Below are 26699 nucleotides of genomic sequence, written 5' to 3'. Positions count from 1 at the left end.
ATATAGCCTCAGCAAACTAACACAGGAACAGAAAACCAAACACCACGTGTTCTCACTTGTAAGTGGGAGCTGAACAATAAGAACACATGGACACAGGGAGGGGAACAACACACATTGGGGCCTGTCAGTGGGGTGGGTAGCGGGGGTGGATGGAGGGAGACCATCAGGATAAATAGCTAATGCATGCTGGGCTTAATACCTAGGTGATGGGTTGATGGGTGCAGCAAACCACCATCACACATGTTTACCTATGGAACAAACCTGCACGTCCTGCACATGTATCCCGGAACTTTACATTTTTTAAAAAAGAGGAGGGATATGGCAGTTCATGATTTTGTTGTTCTCTTCCTGGAGTCTAAGTTGTATGTTGTAATTTAAGGGATTTGGGAAAGGATTTCAAGCTCCATGGTCTCTCTTCCTAGGGGAGACCACCCTGGAGGAGTGGAAGAGGCGTATCCAGGAGAATCCAGGGCCCTGGGGAGAGCTGGCCACGGACAACATCATTCTGACCGTGCCGACCGCAAATCTTCGTACTCTGGAGAACCCTGAGCCGCTGCTCCGCCTCTGGGATGAGGTGATGCAGGCTGTGGCGCGACTGGGAGCTGAGCCCTTCCCTTTGCGCCTGCCTCAGAGGATTGTTGCCGACGTGCAGATCTCAGTGGGTGGGTGCTCCAAGCAAACCCTCTGTGCATGCTGCCTCTGAGCGCCTTCCTGTCTTTCATCAGCCATGCAGTGGGCAGCCAGTAGGGGAAACATATTTTGCTAGCAAGACATATAGATGTATCCTTGTTATTTAAATGGGAAGGAAATATATATAATATATATTATATATTATATATATAATATATAATATATATTATATATATATTATATAATATATATTATATAATATATATTATATAATATATATTCCGTAATATATATTATATAATATATATTATATAATATATATTCCGTAATATATATTATATAATATATATTATATATATGTATATATGTATATGTGTATATAAAACAGTTTAGGTCAGCATGTCAAGGACATCAAGAAATGCCACCTGAGCTTTCACAGGTATTCATCAGGGACTTCAAGCCGGTAAAAATGGCAGAGGGCCGTGACCTAGGTCAGAGTTGTTGGGTTGGAAAAGGGAATTTTACAACTTTAAGAACACACTGAATAAAGCGATCTTTGCCTATGGTCAAGGAACATGAAAAGTGAGGGAAATATACAGACATTAAAGAACCATGGGAATTTCTCTGGACCCTCATTTTCTTTCTTATACGGATGTTCACTGTAAACTTGTGTTGATATGGCAACTCCATATCTGAACAATGAGAGAGGAGCTACCCTTAAAGAGCTCTGAATTTTGAGAAAAGGTTATAGTGACACAGATTCACATGGATAAGGCATCCTCATCAAAATAGAAAAATTGAATGGTAACATGAACAGCTCCTTATATATAAGCTGCATCTCCTTCCATAGCCACACTATTCTGGGTCAGAGTAGAGATGAAGGAATTCTTCCAGAATGAAAAGAGGAGAAGGAACACCTAGCAGGGTCTTGGTTTGGGTTGCTTTTCTGAGTATTATGGTGTGCTGGAATTTGGCTGGGGTTACTGAGTGTTTTGGAACACACACAAAACATAGAAGAATATTACGACTTAAATGGGGAGGACCCTAACTCTCTCTTCCCTCCTTCTGCATTTTCCAGGCTGGATGCATGCAGGGTACCCCATCATGTGCCATCTGGAGTCAGTGCAGGAGCTCATCAACGAGAAGCTCATCAGAACCAAGGGGCTGTGGGGCCCCGTCCATGAGCTGGGCCGCAACCAGCAGCGGCAGGAGTGGGAGTTCCCACCACACACCACCGAGGCCACCTGCAACCTGTGGTGTGTGTATGTGCATGAGACGGTCTTGGGCATTCCTCGAAGCCGTGCCAATATTGCTCTGTGGCCCCCAGTTCGGGAGAAGAGAGTCAGAATCTACCTGAGCAAGGGTCCCAATGTGAAAAACTGGAATGCATGGACCGCACTGGAAACGTATTTACAGGTACTGGGCAAGAATGGCGGGTGATGGGGGACCCCTACTGCGGGGACCATCAGGGCAACTATCGGATAATGTTCTAGTGGCCCAGAAGACCACCCATGGCCCCTGTCTCCCACACTGGGATATGGGAGGCCCTGACAAAGTCCAACTGTGACAGTCGTATTGATGATGTCTCTTAGTGCATCGCCTTGCATGACCCTCAAGTGGATTTCATTGCCTGAGCCTCACCTTCCACCCCATAGAGATATATGATAGTAAATAGAAAGCACTGAGAAAGGTTAAAAATGGTAGAGACAAATAAAGTACTATACATATATTCACTCTCTCTGGCTTTAAAGCCAGACATACCTGAGACTGAAGCCAAACTCTCCTACTTAATAGCTATCTAAAACCAGTTCCCCCCAACCATACACATAATCCATAGGATATGACTTATTTTTTTTTTCCTTAGATGAATGTACCATCTTCTCACTATGCCTTGGCCGTGCCTCAGAGCCCCCATTATGTAGGCAATCCAAGAGTCCTCACTGACCTGGACAAGGAGGTGGCCTTGCCTTTGACCAGTTGTTTAATGCCTAGTTCCCTCCCTGCAATGCCTGGATCAGTTCCTGGCATGAAACTGGAGAGTTTCATCACCTTGAATTTCAGAACTCAGTCTCAGGCCAAGCATGCTCTATTCTGGTTCTTCCACCTGCTGGAGGCTCTCTTATTCATTCCCACTGCCGTGAGAATTATGGGAAAACCAAGGAGGCTCCACTTTAACCTTGTTATGGCTGCTTTGCCCCAGGAACACCAAGTTTCTCATTGGTGAAATAAATGTGAAGTTGGTCTGGGGAACTGCTCAAGTGCCTCATAATTCAAGCTCTGTAACTCAACAGCCTCAAGATGGCTGCCTTTTTCAAAAATTACAACTTATTCTTAATTCTAGTTACCCAGACAATCTGCAGTCTTCTACTTCTATCCAACTCACTTTTTTTCCCCAAAAGCCATTTTAATACCCTTGCACATTGACAAAGATCTATGATTAATGAGGATTTCTTTGTGCCAGGATGAGGTGGAAGTTTCCCTATTGTTGAGGTTTCACTTTTCAACTCTTGAGAAGAGGATTTTTCCAATTCTGCCAATTTTAAATCCTTGTGTAATATCCTATCTCTATTTGCGTGATCTAGTGGGATACGTGGGTAATGATACTGGTAGAAAATATTGATATTAATCATTGCAGTTGTTACCATGGCCCTCACTGATTTAGTATCCACTTGGTGTTGAACACCGTGCTGGTCCCAAGGCCCTTCCTAAGATTAGAATGTGGAAGAGCAGGGCATGAGGCCAGGAGGCAAAATGGAGGAGAGCAGGTCGGTGATAGACGTGAAGCTGATGGGTAAGGGGTTACATATACTAAGTTCACTTATTATAGTGGTTGTTGTTGGACCCTTTTTTATTTCCAAATCTGATCTGTATTTTTCTTTCTCTTCCCAGCTCCAGGAAGCCTTTGGTTGGGAGCCATTCATCCGTCTCTTCACCGAGTACAGGAACCAGACCAACTTGCCCACAGAAAATGTTGACAAAATGAATCTGTGGGTCAAGATGTTCTCCCACCAAGTGCAGAAGAACCTGGCTCCGTTCTTTGAGGCCTGGGCCTGGCCCATCCAGAAGGAAGTGGCTACCAGCCTGGCCTATCTGCCTGAATGGAAGGAAAATATTATGAAATTGTACCTCCTCACACAGATGTAAGGAGTGCCCATCGAGGTGGCAGGTAGAGAGGTTTGGGGAGGTAGGCAGAGGTGGGGATTCACTCCTCTACCTCTGCCTCCCAGGGTCTGGCCTTGTCCTCTTAGTTCATTGCCCTATACCTTATTACCGACCTCTGTCTCTAGGAAGTGGGTTCAGAACACAGCCAAAAGTGGAATCAGAATTTCTCAGGTGCAAGGGCTTCTGTTTCTGCATCTTGTTCGTCTGCTTTCAGCTGTCACATTCCCTCCTGACCCTGCACTGGCCCAGTTCCAAGAGCTTTGGCACCTGCTTCTATATCAGCCCTGGATTCACCATCATAGGTCATAGCCCAGAGGGGGTAGTTCTCATGTTGGCATCCTGAAGACTCCCTTTGGGCTTTTGTTTTTGAACAGTTGTTCCAAAAACTTGACCATAAAACTCAACTGGAACACAAATTTACCGTGAGACCCAGATAGCTCTTGGATGGACTCATATATTTTGTGACTTGAGTAGTTTTCAAAGTAGACAAGCATTCTGGTATAGTGGGAAGAGCCCAGAACTAGGTAGGGTTAGCTCTCGGGAAAGTCATTTCAACTTGGTACTCTCATTTCCTGTGTGTAAAATGGGGATAAAAATTCCCAGTTCACAGGGTTGTCGTGGAGGTTCAGAGTGATAAATTCTGAAGAGGCTTGTGAGGTCTGCAGAGCATGTCATCTAAGGGGATTTTCTATTTTATGCTGGTCCACAGGATAATGAGCTTACTACTTTCCATCCTGTCTCCAGAATTTAGAGGTTAGGATAACTCTCTCTACAAGTAGCTTCCCTGTGTTCAAATCCTGGTTCTTTCACCTACGAGTTGTATAACCCTGGCAATTTCCTTAACTTCTCTGTGATTTAGTTTTCTCATCTATAAAATAGGATCTATCTCATAGGATCATTGTGAGGATTACATTTTATAATACCTTTAAAAAGCAATGAGAACCGTCCCTGGCAGGTAGTAGGTGTTGAGAAAATGTCTGCTGCCATTATTATTATCTAATTGACTCAATACTCTTTATGAGCTAGACTTTATTTTTAGATGACATTTACAGAGGCAGTTGTAGTTAATCCTAGCCCATCTTGCACTTTATACAGCAACTTCTGAAAGGATTCTGCTATGTTGCCTTATGAATCTAAAGGAAGAACTCTAAATTCACAATGGGTTTTTTTAAATAGCTAAAAAATTTTGTTTCTTTTTAACTTAGATTTGTAAAGCTATTTATAAGAACCTCATTGTGAATTTGGAGCTCTTCCTTGGATCTCCTTATCCAATTGTATTTTACAGATCCAATTCCTTCTTTGATTAAATCAAGAGTAGATGTCTTGAAGAAACCAGATCAATTCCATAATGACATTTGTCCTTAGCAAACAGAGGGTATCTGGTTTCATGACAGTGTTTTTATTTCTGTAACACAGATTCAAGACATAGTGCCTGTCAAGAGTTACTCAACAGTTTGGCAGACGAAGTCCACACACATAGAGGACTTTACTCTGAAACAAGATGATTGGATAGAGTTGACCCAAACTTATTTCTTTTTAATTTTATTCAGAATCCCCTATTTCTTTACAGTTTTAACTAAAGTTGGGTCCTTTTGGTTGATGTCATATACATCCAGCCAGTTTTTCTTTAGCTCACTTTTTATTTTAGTTATTTTAATATATCATTTTATTTGCTTAATTGGTAATTGGGTAGATATGTAGACTGTAAGATTTGACCTATAGAGTTTTTTCTTTGGATTTTTGTTTGTTTGTTTGAGATAGCGTATCAGTCTTGTCACCCAGGCTGGAGTGCAATGGCACCGTCTCGGCTCATTGCACCCTCTACCTCCCAGGTTCAAGCGATTCTCCTGCCTCAGCATCACAAGTAGCTGGGCTTACAGGTGCCCACCACCACACCCAGCTAATTTTTTGTATTTTTAGTAGAGATGGGGTTTTGCCATGTTGGCCAGGCTGGTCTCGAACTCCTGGCCTAGGTGATCCACCCACCTCGGCCTCCCAGTAGATTTCTTTGTCATGTTATTTGTCGGTCCTAGGATTATTTCTCCTGATTGCACAAATATCCATTGCCTAGGTGCTTTAAACATGAGACATTGGATATTTGTTCAACATTTAAAATAATTGTTATCAATTATTGGGTGTGTACCAGTTATTGTAGTGATTCCTTTCTATAGATTGTTTCATTTAATCTTCACAATAATCTCATGACATGGCAACCATTATCACTCCCATTTTATTTTATGAACGAGAGAACTGAAGTTAAGGAAGATAAGGTAAATTATCTAAGGCTATATTGCTAATAAGTGGTTGATCTGGGATTTGAATTCAGGCATTCTGATTACAGAATGGGCATTCATAACTACAGTGCTTTGAATGACCCCATCAATGGGTAAATAAAGAAGCCGACCAGCAAACCAAAGGATCATTATGTTCCTACTTGCCAGAGCTTTGGCTGCATATACTTACCTATCATCTACTTTTATCAGAACAAAAAATCATTTTGTTTATCCCAAATGACAATTCAAAGAATTTAAGGTAGGCTCCTGAAGTGCTTCCCAATAGATAGTGCTGGAGTGAGCCCTTTAGCATCAGCCAGATCTTTTAGGTTCTGCATTACTCAAGTTTCAGTTATTCTTTCTAGGGTACCATGAAAGTGTTCTCTAGTTTGTTGGATTTTGAATGATGGACTATTTCAGTGAAGTGCCTGACTCCCAGAGATCCCAAACACTGCATGTTCTCAGAGAGGAAATTAGATCCTCCATCTTTGAGAATATGTGTATCCATCCTTGCCCTCTTTAATATATTTTTAGCAGTACATCCCGGGGATATATTTAAAATATAAAGTTATCCATGTTACTTCCGTGTCTAAAAGCCTCCACTGGAATTTCTAATTTGAGATAATGGAGTAAACATAAGTTTACCTTCCCTCCCTCCCCAGGCCCCACTGAAATTGAAGTCAAGAAATGCAAAAAGGAACTGACACATCTCAGCAAAGAAAACTGAAGGGATTTGGTTATAAGTGGAGAGGATCTCAGCATATTTCTGGAAGATAGAAAGTGGATGAAGCATGATAATGAAAGAGTGAAGAACCTTTCAGATAAAATGTAAGCTGATCTGAACAACATAACCCCAAAGAGACTTGCGCACCTGAAAAGCTTGTCTACTGAAGAATTACTCCAGTTGTAAGATTGAGCCCTCTCCTACTCTCCCCCAACTCTTATGCACAGAACACAGGCAGTCTCCACTATTGATACCAGTTAAAAATTTCTTGTTATTGTTGCTGTTGTTGTTTGTATAAAGGAATTGAACAGGCTGCTTGCAGAGAGATAAGAGTTGGTGCTCCAGAAAAAAATTTCTCTTCTAGTGGAAATAAGTGCCCCTACCCCCAGCCGGTCAGCTAATTCTCTACTGACAGCTGAGACCTCCTACTCAAGTGCCTGTTGCCTTCAGGTATAGAAGAGGTTTCCTGAAGAAACAGACCTAACTGTACAACAGCAGAGGAAACCCATGCCAACTGTTATACAAGTTAACAGTTATGTTGATTTTTAAATGGGAATGGTGAGTTAGAAATTCCCAGACATGGGCGATGGGGAGGGAAGAGGAATAAGAAAAGTCACGAGGTAGAATTAGGGGCCTTGAAAATATGACAAACTCTGAGGGAAACAAAGACAATGTGGAAAGAATAACTTAATTTTAATTCCATCTCCAGAGAGATTTGAGGTGTATTTAAGATGAAAAACAGGATACTACAAAGAAACGGAAAACTCAGGAGTTCGAGACCAGCCTAGGCAAGATGGCAACATCCCGTCTCTACAAAATAATTTTTAAAAATTAGCCAAGCATGGTGGCATGTGCCTGTGGTCCTAGCTACTTGGGAGGCTGAAGTGGGAAGATCACTTGAGCCCAGGAGTTCAAGGCTTCAGTGAGCCATGATGGTGCCACTGCACTCCAGCCTGGGGGACAGAGTGAGACCCTGTCTCTTAAAAAGCAAGAAAAGAAAGAGAAGACTGAGAATAAGAAGATCTCTTTGAAAATAAAATAAGACTGCTAAAAGTATTTGGTATACAGTCTGGAAAATAAAGTTGAGGGAATCTCTCCAGATAAAGAGCAAAAAGAAATAGATAGAAAAATATAAAGAAAGAAAAAAGACATAGACAATCAATATGTAATGTTAGGAGTTCCTGGAAGAGAGAACAGAGACAGTGTAGGTGAAGAAATAAAAAGAAAAAGAATTGAAGAACAGAGCAAGCTAAGTCTCCAGATTGAGAGGGCCCAATACAATCTACATCTAGACACAATATTGTAAAATTTTGGAATATTAAGGATAGAAGGAAGATATTAAAGTGGCCAGGGAGAAAACAAATGAGGTCATCACGATTAGCTCAACACAAAAATGGATGAGAAATAGACTGCTAACAGATTTGTCATCAGCAACACTGAATGCCAGAAGTCAATGGATCAACATCTTCAGAGCTTAAGGAAAATTTTTGTACCTAGAATTTCATAGTAAGGCAGACTGTCAAGAAGAACATCAAAGTGAAGACATTTTCTGTCAGGCAAATTTTCAGAAAGTCTCCTTTGCACCCTTACTGAGGAAGTATCTTGAGGAAATTCTCCAGCAAAATGAGGATGAAAACCAGGAAAGAAGAAGAAATGGGATCCATAAAACAGTGGACCTTACTTAGGATGTCTCATTCTAGAGTGACAGCCAAAAGGGTATCTCACCCTAGAGTGACAGCTATCCAGCAGACTAATTTCAGATGAGAGCATACTGTCTCGGGCTTTCTGGGAAGAATGTGCATTCAGTGCCATAGATAGTATCATTGAAGAGCTGGGATGCTTGAGAAGATTATTTAGTCAAGAAAAAAGAAAGACAAATCAACAATATGTCAAAAAATTCAGGTCCAATTATAGAGCAAAATAAAATGAGGCATGATTTTGAGTTATTCATGAAGAATAAGAAGAGGCTTGATAGGTACATTTCCTTTTCTATGGCACAGGCATGATGATATTGGGTGTGTAGGGAAGAAAATATCCTAGCTTATACTAGGCTCCCAGTAAGAAGTATTTAAATAGCCAAAATAATGTGGATATCATTTATTAGTATTCAATGTTCAGATCAGCCTATTAACAAAGTGTGAAAGGTTTCATTTTTTATTCAGAACTGAAGTTGAAAGTAATTAATGCTGACAAAGGGAAAGAAAGCAGAAAGAGATTGAGAATTAGAGGAAGAGAAGTGGAATCAAAGGTAGAGATACTTATATATTCAAAGTGGGGATGAAAAGATCTTCAGTTAATGGAACAAGAACTAGAGGATTAGTGTATTGTTCAAAGCTATAAAATCAAACCAATAGATGTATTAAAAAGTGATGTAACTATCAGACATTTGGAGAGAGATGGACAAAGGAAAGTGGCGATAGTGTAAGTTAAATCCTTATCTTTTGTAATGGGGAATTATTAAAGATGTTGTAAAGTCAGTAAGTCAAGAAATTATTGCTCAAACATATTATTTAAAGTTAGAAAGTTACCAGACGATCTAAAATAAATATTGTTAAAAGCATTACCTCTAGGGAATGGGATTTAGATTTAAAAAGGGTGGGATGGGAAACTGTGTTTTTCATTTTAAGTCCTTCTGTACTATTTAATTTTTTACCTTGTGCATGTATTACTTTGAAAAAATTTTTAATAAACCCAAATAAAAATCTTCCAGTGACTTCACATTGATTAAGATGCAACCCAGCTAAAGCCTTTAAAATGGTTTTCAAGGTCCTCAAGTATCTAGGTCCACTTGATGTGTCCAGGCTCATGATATCTCCCCACAAGTCTCTATTTCCAACCAGATTAAGTATCTTCCAGTTATTAAAACACACTTCACATTCTTTTGTTTGTATAGGTGTTCCACAAAAAACAAAGCCTACTGCTGATCTCACCATGTCTGCTGAGTAAGCTTACCATCTAGTGGGTTTTAATATTTGTTGAATGAAGGAATGTCCAATACAGCATTGAATGAAGTTTGCCAACTTCATTCTTTTCCAAGAAGGCCTTTGATGTTTGCCCCTGTTCTGGGAAACATTTCAAGAAGGACCATCCAGGGCCCTAAGCTTTCCTGCACTCCCCTTCATTTGACAGCTTTAATAAGTTTTAGTCTTATATGAGGCCAGCTAGTGTCAGAGCATTTCTGTCCATCTGTCAGTCTCCCTGGTGTACTCTTTGCTACTTTCCCTGAACATCGTAACCTCTTTTCAGCTATTTTTAACCCTGTACTTGGGAGAAACAGCCAACTATCTAGTGGAAATCTTTAGGCCACCAAGTTTCTTTTTTTTAAGTTTTATTTTACTTTTAATTGACTCATAATAATTGTACATATTTATAGGGTATAGTGTGATGTTTTGATACACGTATATATTTTGTGATGATCAAATCAGGGTATTTAGCATATTTTTCACCTCAAACATTTATCATCCCTTTGTGGTAAGAACATTCAAAATCCTCTCTTCTAGCTATTTTGAAATATACAATATAATATTGTTAACTATAGTCACCCTACTGTGCAATAGAACACCAGAACTTATTCCTATCTAACTGAACCTTTGTACCTGTTGACCAGTCTATCCCCATCTCCCCTGCCCCACTACCCTCCCAAGCCTCTGGCAACCACTATTCTACGCTCTGCTGCTATTAAATCAACTTTTTAAATTATAGAATCCACTTTTGTGTGAGATTGTACAGTATTCGTCTTTACATGCCTGGCTTATTTTACTTAACATAATGTCCTCTGGGCCCAATTACGTTGCCACAAATGACAAAATTTCTTTTTATGGTTGAATAGTCTTCCATTGTATATATACACCACATTTTCTTTATCCATTCATCCACTGATGGACACTTAGGTTGATTCCATGCAACTACTGTGAATAATGCTGCAATAAACATGGGAATGCAGATATCTCTTCCACATAACTGATTTTATTTCCTTTGGATATATACTCAGTAGTGGGATTCTGGATCATATGGTACTTCTATTTTTTAACTTTTTTAGGAACCTTCATTCTGTTTTCCATCATTGCTGGACTAATTTACAACAGCATATGAGACTTCCTCTTTCTTCACATCTACCCCAACATTTGTTATTTTTTGTCTTTTTGATAATAGCCATTCTAACTGGACTGAGGTGATATGTCATTATGGTTTTATTTGCATTTCCCTGATGATTAGTGATGCTAAGCATTAGTATGTCTTCTTTAGAGAAATGTCTATTTAGGCATTTTGCCCATCTTTAAATGGAATTATTTATTTTTCTGCTATTGAGTTATTTTTCTATATATTCTAGGCATTAACCCCTTGTCAGATGCATAGTTTGCATATGTTTTCTCCCATTCCTTAAGTTAACTTCAATCTGTTTCCTTTGCTGTACAGAAGCATTTTAGTTTAATATAGTACCATTTCTCTATATTTGCTTTTGTTGTATGCTTTTGAGGTCTTATTCAAAAAATTCTTGCCGAGACCAATGTCATGAATTGTTTCTCCCATGTTTTCTTCTAGGATGCTTACAGTTTCAGGTCTTACATTAAAGTTTTTAATCAATTTTGAACTAATTTTTACATATGGTAAGAGACAGGGGTCTAATTTTATTCTTCTACATGTGGATATTCAGTTTTCCCAGTGCCATCTATTGAAAAGCCTCTCCTTTTCCTAATGCATGTTGCTGACACTTTTGTTGAAAATCAGTTGGCTGTAAGTGCATGGATTTATTTCTGTTCTGTATTCTGTTTCAGTTATCTATGTGTCTATTTTTATACCAGTACCATGTTGATTTGGTTACTATAGCTTTATAGTATATTTTAAAGTCAGGTAGTGTGATGCCTCGAGCTTTATTTTTGCTAAGGATTACTTTGGCTATTTGGGGTCTTTTGTGGTTCCATAGAAGTTTTAGGATTTTTTTTTCTATTTCTGTGAAGAATAGGGATTGCATTGAATTAGTAAATTGCTTTGGATAATATGGACATTTTGACAATATTAATTTTTGCAATTCATTATTATCTTTCTATTTATTTGTGTCCTCTTCAATTTATTTTATCCATATTCTATAGTTTCCACTCAAGATGTTTCACCTCCTTTGTTAACTATATTCCTGGGTATTTATTTTATAGCTATTGTCAGTGGATTGCTTTCTTGATATCTTTTTTTAGGTAGCTTGCTACTGGCATATAGAAACACTACTGATTTTTGCATGTTGAGTTTGTATCCTGCAACTTTATTGAATTTATTTATTCTAACAGTTTTTTGTGGAATCTTTAGGATTTTCTATATATAAGATAATGTCATCTGCAAACAAGGACAATTTGACTTCCCCCTTTCCTATTTGGATGCCTTTCATTTCTCTTGCCTAATTGCTCTGGCTTGGATTTCCAGTAGTATGTTCAACAAAAGTGATAAATGCGGCATCCTTGTCTTATTGCAGATCATAGAGGAATAGCTTTCAACTTCTTCAGTATGATGTTATCTATGAGCTTCTCATTTATGGCCTTTATTGTGTTGAGGTATATTACTTCTACATCTCATTTGCTGAGAATTTTTATCATGAAGGGATGTTAAATTTTATCAAATTTTTTTCTTTGTCTATTAAAATGATTATGTCATTTTTGTCCTTCATTCTGTTAATGTGATGTATCACATTTGTGATTTACATATGTTAAACCATCCTTGCATCCCTGGGATGAATCTCACTTGATTGTGGTGAATTATTTTTTCAATATGCTGTTGAATTTGTTTCACTTATATTTTGTTAAAGATTTTTGCATCTATGTTGATAAAGGAGATTGGCCTGTAGTTTTCTTTTTATCAAGTTATCCTTGTCTGGTTTTGATAATGTTGGCCTCATAGAATGAGTGTGGAAGAATTTGCACCTCTTCAACTTTTTAGAATAGTTTGAAAAGAAGTGATATTATTATTTACATGTTTGGTAGAACTTAGCAGTAAAGTCATCAGTTCCTGGGCTTTTCTTTGACGGGAGACTTATTATTACTGATTCATTCTTGTTACACATTATTGGCCTGTGTAGGTATTTTATTTCTTCATAGTAGTTCAACTTTGGTAGGTTGCATGTGTCCAGGAATTTATTTATTTCTTTTAGGTTTTCCAGTTTATTGGCATATAATTGCTCATAAAAGTCTTCTATGATCCTTTGTATTTCTGTGACATCTCCTTTTTTAGCTCTGATTATATTTATTTGAGTCTTCTCTTTTTTGTTAGTCTAGCTAAAACATTTGTTTATCTTTCAAAGGACCAACTTTTTGTTCTACTGATTTTTATATTATTTTCAGGCTCTATTTCACTTATTTCTGCTTGATCTTTATCAGTCTTCTCTTCTAGTAGTTTAGGGTTCAGCTGGCCCTCGTTTTTCTCATTCCTTGAGGTGCCACATAAAGTTTTTATAAAAGATTCTTATACTTTTTTGATGTAGGCATCTATTGCTATAAACTCCCTCTTAGAATAGCTTTTGCTGTATCCCATAGGTCTTGGTACATTATGTTTCCTTTTATTTGTCTCAAGGAATTTTTAAATTTTCTTTTTAATTTCTTTATTGATGCCCTGGTTTTGTAAAAACTTGTTTTTAGTTTTCACATATTCGTATATGTTCCATAGTTCCTCTTGGTATTCATTTCTAGTTTTTATTGCATTGTGGTAAGAGAAGATACTTGATAAGATTTTGATTTTTTTGATTGCTTGAGATATGTTTTGTGGACTAACATATATTCTATCGTGGAGAAAAGTTCCATGTGCTGTTGAGCAAAATGTACATTCAGTAGTTATTGAGGGGAATGTTTTATAAATATCTGCTGGGGCTATTTGGTCTAGAATGTAATTTAAATCTGATAATTCTTTGTTGATTTTCTATCTAGATGATCCATCCATTGCTGAAAGAGGGTGCTAAAGTCCTTTTTTATTTTATTTTAATTTTTCTCTCCCTTTAGATCTCATAATATTTGCTTTATATATTTACTTTATATATTGGGTGTTCTGGTGTTGTGTGCTCATATACTGACAACTGTCCTAACCTTCTGCTGAACTGATTTCTTTATCTTTCTTTATATAATGACCTTCTTTTCTCTTTTGACAGTTTTTTACTTAAAGTCTATTTTGTCTGATGTAAGTATTACTACCCCTGCTTTGTTTTGGTTTCCATTTTCACAGAATTTCATTTTCTCTTCTTTCACTTCAGTCTATGTGTGGCCTTATAGGTGAAGTGCCTATCTGGTAGGCAGCATGTTGCTGAATCTTGTTTTTTTTTTTTTTTAATTTAATCCATTCAGCCACGGCGTATGTTTTAATTGGGAATTTATTTCATTTACATTCAAAGTTATTATTGATAGGTAAGGACTTCTGCCATTTTGTTCATTATTTTCTGGTTGTTTTGTTTATCCTTTGTTCCTTTCTTCCTCTCTCATGTTTATCTCTGTGGCTTGATTAGGGTATTTGTTGTGTTAAGCTTTGATTCCTTTCTCTTTCTCATTTGTATATCTGTTGTAATTTTTTCTTTGTGATTAGTATTGGGGTTACATTAAAAATCTCTCATACTTATAATAGACTATTTTAAGCTGATAACAAGTTAACTTTCATTGCATACCAATACTCTAGACTTTCATTCTGCACCCAAATTTATAATTTTGTTGCTTTAATATACATCTTTATATATTGTTTATTCCTTAACAACTTATCATTGCTATAATCATTATTACAATTTTCACTTTTTGGCATCCCACAGAGCTGCATTTTTTTAATTATTATTATTTTTTAAATGGGGTCTCATTATGTTGCCCAGGTTGGACTCAAACCCCTGGGCTCAAATGAGCCTTCCATTTCAGCCTCCTAAATAACTGGGACTACAAGCACATGCCACAGCACCCAGCTGTTTTGGCCTTTAACCTTCATACTAGAGGTTTGAAACATTACATATCACCATTGCAGTAATGAAGCATTATGAATTTGATAATGCATTTATCTCCAGCAGTGAGATTTATACTTCATGTTTTTTTATGGTAGCAATTATCATGAAAACTTTTTTTTCCAATAGAAATACTCAAGCATTTCTTGTAAGTCTGGTCCAGTGGTAATGAGTTCCCTCAACTTTTGCTGATCTGGGAAAGACTATTTCTCCTTCATTTCTGAAGCAAAGATTTGCTGGTATAGTATTCTAGGCTAGCAGCTTTTTTTCTTCTAGTATTTTAAATATATCATCCCATTCTCTCCTGGCCTGCAAGGTTGCTGCTGGGAAATCTGCTAATAGTCCAATGGCAATTCCCTTATATGTGACTTGATGTTTTTCTCATGCTGCTTTTAGTATTTTTTTCTTTGTCTTTGACTTTTGACAGTTTGGTTATATGCCTCAGAGAGGACCTCTTTGAGTTGAATCTTTGTGGGATCCTTTGAACTTCATGGATCTGGATGTCCATATCTCCCCAAGACTTGGGAAGTTTTCAACTATTACTTTGTTAAATAAGCTTTCTTTGCCTTTCTTCATCTCTTCTTCTTAAGTTGCCAAAATGCAAACATTTGTTCACTTATGGTGTCCCATAAATGCCATAGGCTTCTTCATTCCTTTTTTTTTTTCTTTACCTCTGACTGGACTATTTCAAAAGGCCTGTTTTCAAGTTCAAAAATTCTTCTGTTTGATCTATTTTGCTGTTGAAGCTCTCAATTGCGTTTTTTTATTTCATTCATTGAATTTCTTGGCCCCAAGATTTCTATTTTGTTCTTTTTTATGATATCTCTCTCTTTGTTGAATTTCTCATTCAGATCATGAACTGTTTTTCCCGATTGTTGAATGATCCGTTTGTGTTCTTTCATGTCTCACCAAGTTTCCTTAGGCTCACTATCTTGAATTCCTTTTCAGGCAATTCATAAATTTTTATTTTTTTATTGGGGTCAGTTACTAGAGAATTATTGTGTTTCTTTGGTGGTGTCATGTTCCCTTGCTTTTTTATGTTTCTTGTATCCCTGCACTGGCATCTGTGCATCTGATGGAATAATCACCTTTTCTAACTTGGTAGCATAACTTTCAGCGGAAAAGACTTACACCTGCAGATGTGTCCTAGCATGTTGGTTGGGTAAGGTACATTTGTTTTTGTTCTGGGTGGATGCAGTAGTGTAGTCTCCATGCAGCTTCTTTAGCTGTAGTTAATGTCAGTGGTGCCTGCAAGTACCTCAGTGGCCTTGGCTGCAGAAGTTTGTGTGGCTGGTATGCCCACTCAGCTGCTTGTCCCCTGAAGGCTGGGCACTTAGCTGGTCTGTTTTCTGAGGATCCATGGCTGGTAGGTTCTCCTTCGGTGCTTATCTCTTGGTGGCTGCATAGTGAGCTGGTCTGTGCTCTAGGGAAGTGCAGGGCTGGTTGTCCAGTAGCTCTGCTCAGTTGCTGCTCCTCTGGAGGCAAGGCACCAGACTGGTTCATACTCACTACCAGGTTACCAGGTTTTTTGTGTCCTACTATCCCTAGTTTCTTGGTAACTGTTCCTTCTCCATCTTCATTAACATTTCTGTCTGAAGGTAAATATTTGTATAATACAAAGACCTTTTCTTACCTGAATTAGCATCTGTCCTATTTTCCATGTATCATAATAGAGATTTACCCTCACAAATGGGAGTAGTTTCCAGATTGCCCATGTTATCACAGAAATAACCCAAATTATTTTATCTTCTGCCACACCACTGAGTCTGAATTTCTGTAAAGAGAAATTGAAATATGTCATGAGTTTACTTTCCTCTGTTGTCTAACTCCCATAGTCAACTGGAGCTCTCTGATGAGTATTGGCCTTGCAGCCAATCTTCAAAGCAGTATTTATCAGAAACACTTCCTATCTCCTCTTCACGGGATTAATCTGATCTATTTAGTGCTTAAAGCAATGTCCTCACCCAAGGTCAAAACCTCACCTAATATATGTACCTAACAGGCCAACAGGTAACTAGGCCTTAGATGTTGACTCTTTTTTGCCAACAAAAGTAGCAGACTCTATCCCTTCTTTCAAGACTATTTCCCTCCTCTGTTCTCTACTCCTTACAAAGCCTTTGTACTCCTGCTTGGCTTCTACTCTTAAAATGATTTCTTTCTTTGACCCACATCATTGCAGTCAGTCTTCAATAGGGAGTGGGCAGAAGGTGATCTTCAACTTCTCAGAGATCTTTCTTCTAACTACACAAAAAAACAACTTACCTCACAATCAAGACAACTAAGAAATGCTTCCTATGCATTTGGATTCTTGTGCATTTCAGTGCTATAAAGAAGCATTTCTTTGATAGGAAAGCTTGAGTAGCTTAAGTTATTGATGTTCTAGTCTGAGACTGGGTGCGTTTCATAGGTGCTCATTATATTAGAAATAAATAGAATAAAGGGATGAGTAAATAAATGAAAGATAAATAGAGGTTGGGAAGCAACTGCAACTTAAAAAAAAAATGTAGTGACCAATGATGACAGTTAGGAACCAAGGTTTATTTTAATACAAATATGTGTACCTGAAGGTCATTAAAAAGTTACTTCTATTCTTAGGAACTCAAATATACATAATTGGTTAAGAAATCTGTACATGTAGGTACTAAAAAAATATTTCCATGAATCGCTTAGTGACATAAAATTCATTTTTCACATACTGCCAAAATTATTTAGAATATTTAAAGTCTGAGATAGTGCCCAAAGGGGGTTAGGGGAGGACAAAATGATCAAACATACAATATAAAAACAATCTATAAAAGAGTCTAGAAGAGATCTCACAGGTTTAGAGAGAAGACCCCTCTTCTTCCTGAACAGACCCCGTAGGCCAGGGCCCAGCAGGCTTACCTATTGTCTGTGGTTTCTGTGCTGCAAACAGGAGCCTAAAACCTGCAAATAGGTTATAAACCTTTTCTTGACCCTCCACCAAGGTAGATAGGCAAGTGGAGCTTTAATAAAACAGAGTTTTTCCTTTTCTTCTTGCTGCTTGTGTAGCCTTGGAGCCGACCTATTCCAAAGGAGAAAATAATAAGCCTTAATTAAGGCTTTTGACATTTAACCACAAGACAACTGGCACTATGAGCTTGTTGCTCTCAACACCTAGAGCAGAGTTAAATCTCAGATCCTCATAGAAAACTCTGAGATAAACTATTTCAGCTGGCAAAAGCATTAAAAGACAAACAACTGACTTGTGTCCGTAATGTTAGAGTGACCTTTAGCAGAAAGCCTGGTGGATCTCTAGCACTGGTAAAAGTACTTTTGGCTATAGGGCATTATTAATGTTATTAACGCACTAATAGTACATAATATTATTAATGCCCTACAGCCAAAGACCAATGGAAACACACCTATAATTAAACAAGTTGAATCTGTTGTTCATTGCAGCTAGGGAAAATGCACACCATAGAGAACTGTGGGTATATCAGTAAAAAGGTGTCAGAAAGAACCTATTATAGGCTGTGGGCTTTGGTTGGATAGTTTTGGGAAGTGTCTGAAGAAGGGAGACTTTGTTTTGGATGACATACTGTCAAGAACCAGAAACAATTCTACAACTACGATCTCAATACATATACAAGGAGAGCTGACTAAAATAAGCATAAAGGCTGGGCGCGGTGGCTCACGCCTGTAATGCCAGCACTTTGGGAGGCCAAGGTGGGCAGATCACCTGAGGTCAGGAGTTTGAGACCAGCCTGACCAACATGGAGAAACCCCGTCTCTACTAAAAATACAAAATGAGCCGGGCATGGTGGCGCATGCCTGTAGTCCCAGCTACTCAGGAGGCTGAGGCAGGAGAATCGCTTGAACCCAGGAGGCTGAGGTTGTGGTGAGCTGAGATTGCACCATTGCACTCCAGCCTGGGCAACAAGAGTGAAACTCTGTCTCAAAAACAAACATAAATAAAATGAGAATAAAGCTGCGATTGGTTTCTAAAACGTGCAATTACTCATTTTAGATAACAGAAGGATGATCAGTATTTTGTGGGTTGCATGGTGATCGTGTATGTGCCTTACTTTATGACGGTCTCTGAGTGACCTTATCTGATGTTGATGTTTTCTGAAATTGTTTTTGTACAATGGGAGAACAATATGGCCTCGCTGTTAGCGCCAGACAAGTTTCTGGATGGCAGGAGCTGCTGCTTTTTTTTTTTTTTCTCAGTTCAAAGGTTTAAAAAGGGAGAACCTTTGCTCTTCTTATAGAGATTCAAGTCTGCATTTCTCTTGATTGACCACAAGGGACAGACTGAAAAAAAAAATAATAGCAGAAAGTATGCATGATGTACCTTGGGAAAGGATAGTTCCGTACAGATCCCCTAGACTTGGTGGAAGTCTTGGGGCAAACCAAAATGAAATTAAGACTACACGTCTCAATATATAGTGAAAAGCCTTGAGAAGGAATGATCTTGATGTCACAGGAACTTTGTAATTAGTCCACTGGGAAATAATTGTTTACATTTTCAAATAAGTAAATAAATAGACAATAATAGTCGCTGGTCCCATAGGAGTAGGGATTTAGACTCACTCTCTGTAGGAATTTTCTTATATAGTATTGACCTACTATGACCCTCAATTCCCATACACTATCCCCCGGCATATTGATATCTACAACCCTTGTGGGATTGTGAATGAAGACATTTATATTACACTGATGTAGGTGCAATTAAAGAAAATTGGATCTACTGAGCACCTGTCCAATGAACCTGATATTTCAAAGGCAGAAAGAGAAAAAGGACATCCACTCTCATTCTTGGGCTAACTCAGTTCCACTGGCTCCAAGACAACTGAAATCTTCAGGACAAAATCAAACTTTATGTCTGGTCTGGTGGTGGGAGAAACAGTTTATAAATGTAAGAATATCTCTTCTCACCCCCACCCCAGCCATGTTCCTTACTAGAGGAAGAAAGTTTCAGTACCTCTGGAGTGGCAGTGATGTGTTCCAAGACATCCTCTGTGATTGGAATATAACTGGCTCTTACCACGTATGTTTCACACACTTATGATCCAAACAGAAAAAAAAAATGTATGCCCAAGTATATTTTACAGATATGCCAAAAGCAGAATATGAAAACTTTTATAACTCTGAATTAGGGCTGGCCGCTTGTCAAGAGAAGCAACAAACTCCCCCATTGCTTCAAAGTTCCACTGTTTTCAATGAAGACGCAGGCAGGAACTTGCCCTTGGAGATAGACCATGCTACAATTGGAATAAAAGTTATTATAAATGTACTAAAGAATGAAACTTAATGGGTGAGTGTTTCATAGATACTCTCAAGTTAGTAACCTTGCTTTTTACTTCCACTACAACACAATTTTAGTAATTACACTTGAGAGATTTAAAGTGAGGAGATATAATTATGACAGTACTTGTGTTATTCTGGGTCCTCCAAGAAGCAAAAGCCAAGACAGGATCAGATATGCGAGAGATTTATTAAAGGAAATGCCTGTGAGAGAAAATGTCGAGGGAGCCAGAGAAGGCCGGGAGAGCCACCATTAGACTGCAATGTAGGTTTAACCCTTGGGAAGGAGACAGCAAAGGAAAGACAGGCTTCCACTGAAGTACAGGTCTCAGAGAGTTTCTTTCAGGACCATGAGGAGTCCTTGAGCCAAACTCACCTATCGGGAGAGTCCCATGTCTTCCAGGAATGGGCCTGCCTGAGGATCCTCACTACATTTGATCACCAGCCTGGAGAAGCCCCTGGCAGCATGGCCTTGGCGCCAAGGATTCCAGAGCACACCAGCTGGGGCCATCTGGCAATTTCATACCCACCCCCTGCAGTTGGACATCTGAGAGGAACATTTTCATCACCACCATAGTACTCATTCTTAAGGCAGCTGTAGACACCTGTTCTGGATCATCTTAAATAGTGACTTAGTGAACTTCCCCAGTGACTCATACCAGTAAATGTCCATAGGTGGATTCATCCATCTCTGTTCCTAAATTAGAGTGTGGCTAATTCTTCCCAGATTCTTAAGGTCCTTAAAAGAAAGAATATATGGTACCACATTAAGTTAAGCTCATGACTGAAAATAATTTAAGAAGGAGGCCAGTGACTATTAATAGTAGCCCACAATTAGAAGGCATATGTATGAGTAACCCCTGCATCTGGCTTAGTGATAAACTGCAATTACTGCAGCAATTGCTCTCTATTTGACAAAAAATGGACTCATGTACCACTGGTAAAGATAATATTTCTGATTTGTGTTTGCCTCTTGTATATGCTGGACAATGAAGTATAATATTGTTTATGTATATTTATTACGTATAACCCAGAAAGAGTCTGTCATGGAAGCACAAGAAGTATGAGTTAGCCTGCCTGATTTAAGCTAATACAGATCTATCCTTGGAAATGGAGATGAATTCATTGTCCCCTGAATCTCATAAAGGAGAGGTGGATTATCTGATTTAAAAAAAAAATGGATTTGGTTAGAAAGGACAATAGGGGTAGTGTAGGGAATAGATGTTGAGGAGGCAACCACAGTGTTTACTAAATGGTGCTTTTAAAAAATCTTCCTCCACACTGTAGAATGGAATCCAAACTCCCTAGTATGGCAGCCAAAGTCCCTCTAAACCGAGCCCAAACTTCTCTTTAGAGCTAGCACTATGCAAGTTCTGCTAACAAGTTTCAGTCACTATGAACATTTTGTCTTTCTCAAATTAAGCCTTTCACATTCATATCTCTGTGCTTTGGAATCTTATACAGCCTCACATTGTAATACCTTCCCCTTTATCTCCCCGCAAATATACATTTTTCTAAGCTGAGTTTCTGTGTCACCTTCTGTGCACATTCTTCTCTAATCCTTTGATCAGAAATAATTGCTGCTTCTTTTATGTGCCCTTGCACCTGATTCGTAGCCAATTTTGGTATAGTTGTTTTCTTGTCTTTTTTCCTCTCTAGATTTACTGACCATAATAGCATTTCTATCTCCCAGAGTGCCTCACAGAATAAGTGTCCAGTAAGGATATGTTGACTTTCACTGAATGGCGTCTGTTTTCTCCCAAGTAAAAGGAAAGATCTGGGGCCTGCACCTTTGCATAAGCAGTAACCATTTCGAAGCTTATCCAACCCACCTTATTTTCGTTGTTGTTGTTGTTGTTCCGTTTTCTTTTATTTTAGGTTTCTAGCTGCCTGAACTCACGGTTTTTAGTTTCTGTCTCTAGTGAAAGGGGAAAAGAGGGATGAGGAAGGGGTTTTACTCGCCTAACCAAAAACAGAAACTAAGAACCCATGACTGTATTCTCTCTCGGACACCCTTTAGTCAGAACGTAAATGCTGGTTACCATCTTTAATCTTTTTTTTCTTCTTTTTTTTTTTTTTTTTTTTTTTTAGGAACCGTTATGCCGTTCCTATGTTGTTAGGTTCCATTCCTCAGGCAGCTCCTGCTCCCAAATGGCAGGTACTTTCTGCTCTCTGACCCTGGAAAAATCACCTTTGTTTAAAGCCCCTTTCTTCTATTAGAGCAACACCAAAATACTCTCAGGAGTTAATTTAGAACAATAGTAGTACTTTACCATGAGGAGTGAGGTTGATGTAGGTGGAGACTGGTTAAAACCTAAGAGTACAAACACACAAAAGATACCGAGCCAGCTTTTTGTTGTTGTTGTTGAGACGGAGTCTCGCTCTGTCGCCCAGGCTGGAGGGCAGTGGCATGATCTCTGCTCACTGCAACATCCGCCTCCCGGGTTCAAGCAATTCTCCTGCCTCAGCCTCCCGAGTAGCTGGGATTACAGGCCTGTGCCACCACGCCCGGCTAATTTTTGTATTTTTAGGAGAGACGGGGTTTCTCCATGTTGGCCAGGCTGGTCTTGAACTCCTGACCTCAGGTGATCCACCCACCTCGGCCTCCCAAAGTGCTGGGATTACAGGAGTGAGCCCCCGCACCCGGGCCTGAATCAGCTTTTAACGTGGAACTTTACTGACCCACTTTCTTTGATGTCCATCTCCCACTTCAGCTCCCAAAGGTCAGTTGTTCCCTGATATGAAGCCTAAGAACTCAACGTACTTCACCGCACGTTGGATTTCTAGCCGGAATTATTCCAAATTCTGGCAAGTCTTATCCACAATTTCTTTTCTGTGTAAGTTTCTCCTTGCTCTTTATTTCTGAAACCTGAATGTATTTGGTCCTCTGCCAATCAGATTTCCACTAGTCCTCCGAAGAGTCAGTTATTAACTCACTAATTCGACAGATATTTTTGGACGTTCACTATATCCTTATTTATTTAGCATATATTTAGTTATTTATTAAGAAACTAAAGCCTATTCTATGTCAGAAATGAAAATAGGCAATGAGGACTCAATGGTGGGCAAAATGCAGACAGACTACTTTTTTCCCCTCATTCTAGCACAGTCATCACTTTCCTAGGTAAGACGTTCCTAAACTCCAGACTACACCAAATCCTCCTCCTGACCACACCCTTCCACCTTGATTTTCACCTTCTGACCTCTCTTGCGTAGAAATTCGAGCACCAGCCACTCTATAGCTTTAGCTTAATTTCTCCAGCCATGCACGGACGAATCTGTGTTAGTGATGCCACAGGCACGTTTCCCTCCCAGCAAGAATATAACTTGCTGGGCAGCATTTCTGTGGATACTTTGAGAGAAAAATGCCCTAGTTGAGCACCCCGCACCATGGCCATAAGCATCCACCGGGCTCGAAGTGCATGGCCCGCCGCTGACCACTAGGGGGCAGCCCTCCACGCAGAGGCTCGAGCGACGGAGGCGACGCGGCGGCTACCGGCTCTGCTGAGCCCACCCCAAGATCGGAGGGAAGGGAGCCTGATTCCACGCGGGGCCTCCCCCGTGGCATACGTTGTTGTTAGGGAACTATTCGCCCCAAATATGGTTTATTGGAGACTTAGGGTTTGCTTTTCTTATCAAGTGCGACAGCAAACTGGCTGGGTCCCCTCTCGCATCCAAGAACCCGCAGAGACCCTGAGGGAGCCGGTTTGGGGCCCCATGCAGGCCAAAGCATCCCTCCGGGAAGGCGGGGTCGCTCACCTGGTAGGCGCCCCGAGAGCCCGCAGCACGGCCCGAGGTGGGGTCCACCGATGGAACGGGAGACCACGGGCGTGGCTCAGGGAGCGGTAGCCGCGCCCCGGGCCCGCCTCAGGGTCGGCTCCGCCTCACCCCAGCCTGTGCCCCGCCTCCGGGACAGCCCAGTTTCCGAGACCTCCTAGCCTCCAAGACAGCCCCGCCGCCAGAACAGCCTCTCCTCCAGGACCGGCCAGCCTACGAGAGAGCCCCGCCTACGGTACAACCCGCCTCCGGGACCGCAGGACTCCACCTCCGAGACAGCTCAGTCCCCAGGACAGTCCCGCCTCCGAGACGGCCCCGCCTCCAGGACGGCCCCTACCTCCGAGACCGCCCCGCCTCCGGGACCGCCCCGCCCCGCCTCGCCTCCGACACGTCCCCCGGGCGCCACTGCAGAGCCTGTCCGTCAGTCCCTAGGTATCCGCACTGCTCAGGGGTGAGTTTTCCAATCCCAGCGGGTCCTGGGGTGGGGGCGGTAGCTGAGCACCTAGGGCACTGGGGGTCGCCGCAAAGTGCTGGAGGCCCCAGACCATACCCGGCGTCAGGGGGTGTCCCTCCCTTCTTAGGTCTAGGTCTTTGGTTTCATTTCGTTTTGTTAGTCTGGTGCTATTTGCAGTTTGTCTCAAAACACGTTTCTCCCTCCTATTTGAACTTGTAAATTACGAATTTGACAAAGATGTGCATGGTGTGTGCGTGCACGAGGGCACATTTCGTTGCGGAATGCTGGGTCAGCTTTCCGGGACATATTACTCATCTGAGGTTTTTTGTCTGTTTTTGTTTATCCTGTCAAACTGGTACTGCCCCAGAAGTGAAAGACGTCGCTTGTCTTCTGGGAGGTAGCTAGCACGATCTTGAGCTCAGGCTTCCGGATCTCTCTCGGCTGCTTTTTTCCACTGGTAACTTCTGAGGCTGAGATCAGGTACCCGCATTCTCAATGCTCTGCCGAGTATTGGCTCTCTTTTGTGAATTTCTTTCCCGCGAGCAGTATTAAGAAAAAGGTGGCGGATAGGAAGGGAAGAGGGGAAGAGATGGAATTCTACAGGAAATGCAGGGCATGCTCAGAATGCCAACCTTTCCGAGCTTGGAGAGATTTAGTGGAAGAAAGTAGCAGGAAAAACGTCCAGTAATCACTGGCATGCCAGACCCTGGAGAAGCCAGGCTGAGGCGCTCTGCAAGTTTCACCTTAGAGAGAGTGGACGAAATGTAACGGTTCTTGTTAGAGTTCTTGTAGAGGACGATTGTGGATGAGAATACATCCTGGGGACTAAAACCATATTGGTTTAGTCTGGAATGATTGCCAACTAAAGGGACTGATGTTTGAGAGAGATGGTGAGAGATTAACCAAATGAGGTGGTTGACTGCATATAGAAGCAGGAGGGAGAGAGGAAGGAGGCACTTGTGGCTCAAGGGCTTGGTGTGTGTTTTAGTTTAGATTCTGCCCTAAAGCAAAGCCTTATGCAAGGGCTTACCTGCAGGTAATTTTTTGGGGGTAAGTGAGACCAAAAAGCCCAAATGAGGAAGTGGAGAGAATGAGACAAGGAAAAAAGGGAAAGCCAGGAGGAGCATGTGGCTGAGGGTCTTCCACATGGCGCTCCTTTCCTCCGGGTGCCTTCCGAGGACCTCTGATGGGCACCTCGGGAAAGCCACGGGGCACTCTTCTGTGAATCCCCGCTCTACTGGGCGAAGCTCACCCTAGTGTCAACTCACCGCTACTTCAGGGCTGCCTTGTGCACCTGCAGAGGTGAGAAGCCATCAGAGCACAGAGGAAAGTCCCTTACAGTGGGCTCGTCAGAGACGCGCAAAGGGAGGCGGCACAGGCAGCCAGGGGACTACTGCACTACTGCAATCTGCAACGCTGCCCTCGGCAACCCGGGAAACTTAAAAGGACAGCAAAGGGACAGACACTCTCGTTTATTCCGTGCTCACTGTATGTGTACCAACCCCAGACAAGGCATTTTTAGACATATTCTTTGCTTTATTTTATTTTACTTTACTTTATTTTATTTTATTTTATTTTATTTTATTTTATTTTATTTTATTTTTTGAGGCAGAGTCTTGTTCTCTCGCACAGGCTAGAGTCCACTGGTGCGATATCGGCTCACTGCAACCTCCGCCCCCCACCGTCAGGGTTCAAGAAATTCTCATGACTCAGCCTCCCCAAGTGGCTGGGATTACAGGTGCACGCCACCATGCCCAGCTATTTTTTGTAGATTTAGTAGAGACAGGTTTCGCCATGTTGGCCAGGCTGGTCTCAAACTCCTGAGCTCAGGTGATCCACCGGCCTCGGCCTCCTAAAGTGCTGGGATTACAGACATAAGCCACTGCGCCTGGCCTATCCATATTCCTTTAATCTTCAAAAACAATCTTCCCATGGCTGTATTATTCTCTTTTTGTAGATGGGGAAACTGAGACTGAAGTCATTTATCCAAGAGGGGCTGCTTAAAGGGACAAATAGTCTCAGTGTTAGGCACAGCCAATTTTAAAAGACCTCCGGAAACTGCATAATGCTACCAAATAGAGGAGGGTCCTCTCCATTAGGGCAGATTTGATAAATTAGGGGGCACTTTCCAACTTAGCAAAGCTGTCAGAAGAAAGGCATGTTTTGACAGGTCTATGACCTTTCTGTTCAAAAAAATCAAGCACTGTGTCCACTCAGGCACACGAACTTAACTATCACCTTGATTTACTGGCCCTGCAGGATCTAGCCCGTCCCTCCCTCCTCCTGGGGTCCTGCTCCTCCCTGCTCCTGGCTCTCAGCCACCCCAAAGTGGTCTCGTTGCTGGAATGCCCTTTGCTCACTGCATTTCAGGTTTCAGCTTCAATGCCACTTTGTCAGAGTCCTTTCCTATCACCCAATCTAAAGTAGTCTTCCAGTTCCTCCATGTCACATCATTGTGTTTTATTT

General features: G+C 40.7%; 1 protein-coding gene, 1 long non-coding RNA gene and 1 pseudogene across 16 annotated transcripts in view, besides 2 other annotated features; 2 read left to right on the top strand and 1 right to left on the bottom strand.

Moving 5' to 3' along the window:
* The window catches only part of TCAF1 (TRPM8 channel associated factor 1), a 50802-nt gene extending 41307 nt beyond the window's left edge, over positions 1-9495 (top strand). For 7 of the 8 annotated variants that reach the window (XM_006716191.3, XM_005250074.5, NM_014719.3 and 4 more), the window contains 4 exons: positions 423-662; positions 1709-2046; positions 3520-3770; positions 6728-9495. In XM_006716191.3, the coding sequence (XP_006716254.1) occupies positions 423-662; positions 1709-2046; positions 3520-3770; positions 6728-6737 (839 nt within the window). In that variant the 3' untranslated portion in view covers positions 6738-9495. Of the gene's footprint in view, positions 1-422; positions 663-1708; positions 2047-3519; positions 3797-6727 lie in introns of all 8 variants that reach the window. The other variant, NM_001206938.2, reaches the window with a different exon arrangement.
* Positions 661-24107, bottom strand: LOC112267988 (uncharacterized). Of its 7 annotated transcripts, XR_002956524.2 has the most exons (4): positions 21835-21920; positions 20379-20741; positions 17618-17777; positions 10736-16508 (listed from the first exon to the last, which is right to left on the bottom strand). It is a non-coding gene; the product is annotated as an uncharacterized LOC112267988 (long non-coding RNA). The 7 variants fall into 7 exon arrangements; XR_007060571.1 differs by adding an exon at positions 661-762 and having other exon boundaries at positions 16368-16508; positions 17618-21919; XR_002956525.2 differs by lacking the exons at positions 20379-20741; positions 21835-21920 and adding an exon at positions 23762-24107.
* Positions 24019-24158: a silencer, noted in NCBI's record as "silent region_18727". NCBI's record gives its function as "represses an Ori minimal core promoter by ATAC-STARR-seq in GM12878 lymphoblastoid cells {active_cell/tissue: GM12878}" and the evidence as "EXISTENCE:reporter gene assay evidence [ECO:0000049][PMID:35858748]".
* LOC154761 (family with sequence similarity 115, member C pseudogene) overlaps positions 24153-26699 on the top strand; it is a 24750-nt pseudogene continuing 22203 nt past the window's right edge. Inside the window, 1 exon segment of the transcript NR_015421.1 lies at positions 24153-24230. The product of NR_015421.1 is annotated as a family with sequence similarity 115, member C pseudogene (transcript).
* Positions 24179-24278: a silencer, noted in NCBI's record as "silent region_18726". NCBI's record gives its function as "represses an Ori minimal core promoter by ATAC-STARR-seq in GM12878 lymphoblastoid cells {active_cell/tissue: GM12878}" and the evidence as "EXISTENCE:reporter gene assay evidence [ECO:0000049][PMID:35858748]".

Source organism: Homo sapiens, chromosome 7 (genome assembly GCF_000001405.40).
Source record: "Homo sapiens chromosome 7, GRCh38.p14 Primary Assembly".
In the NCBI taxonomy this organism is placed as follows: Eukaryota; Metazoa; Chordata; class Mammalia; order Primates; family Hominidae; genus Homo; species Homo sapiens.
The sequence above is the reverse complement of the archived record's forward strand: the minus strand, read 5'-3'. Positions and strand labels throughout refer to the sequence as shown.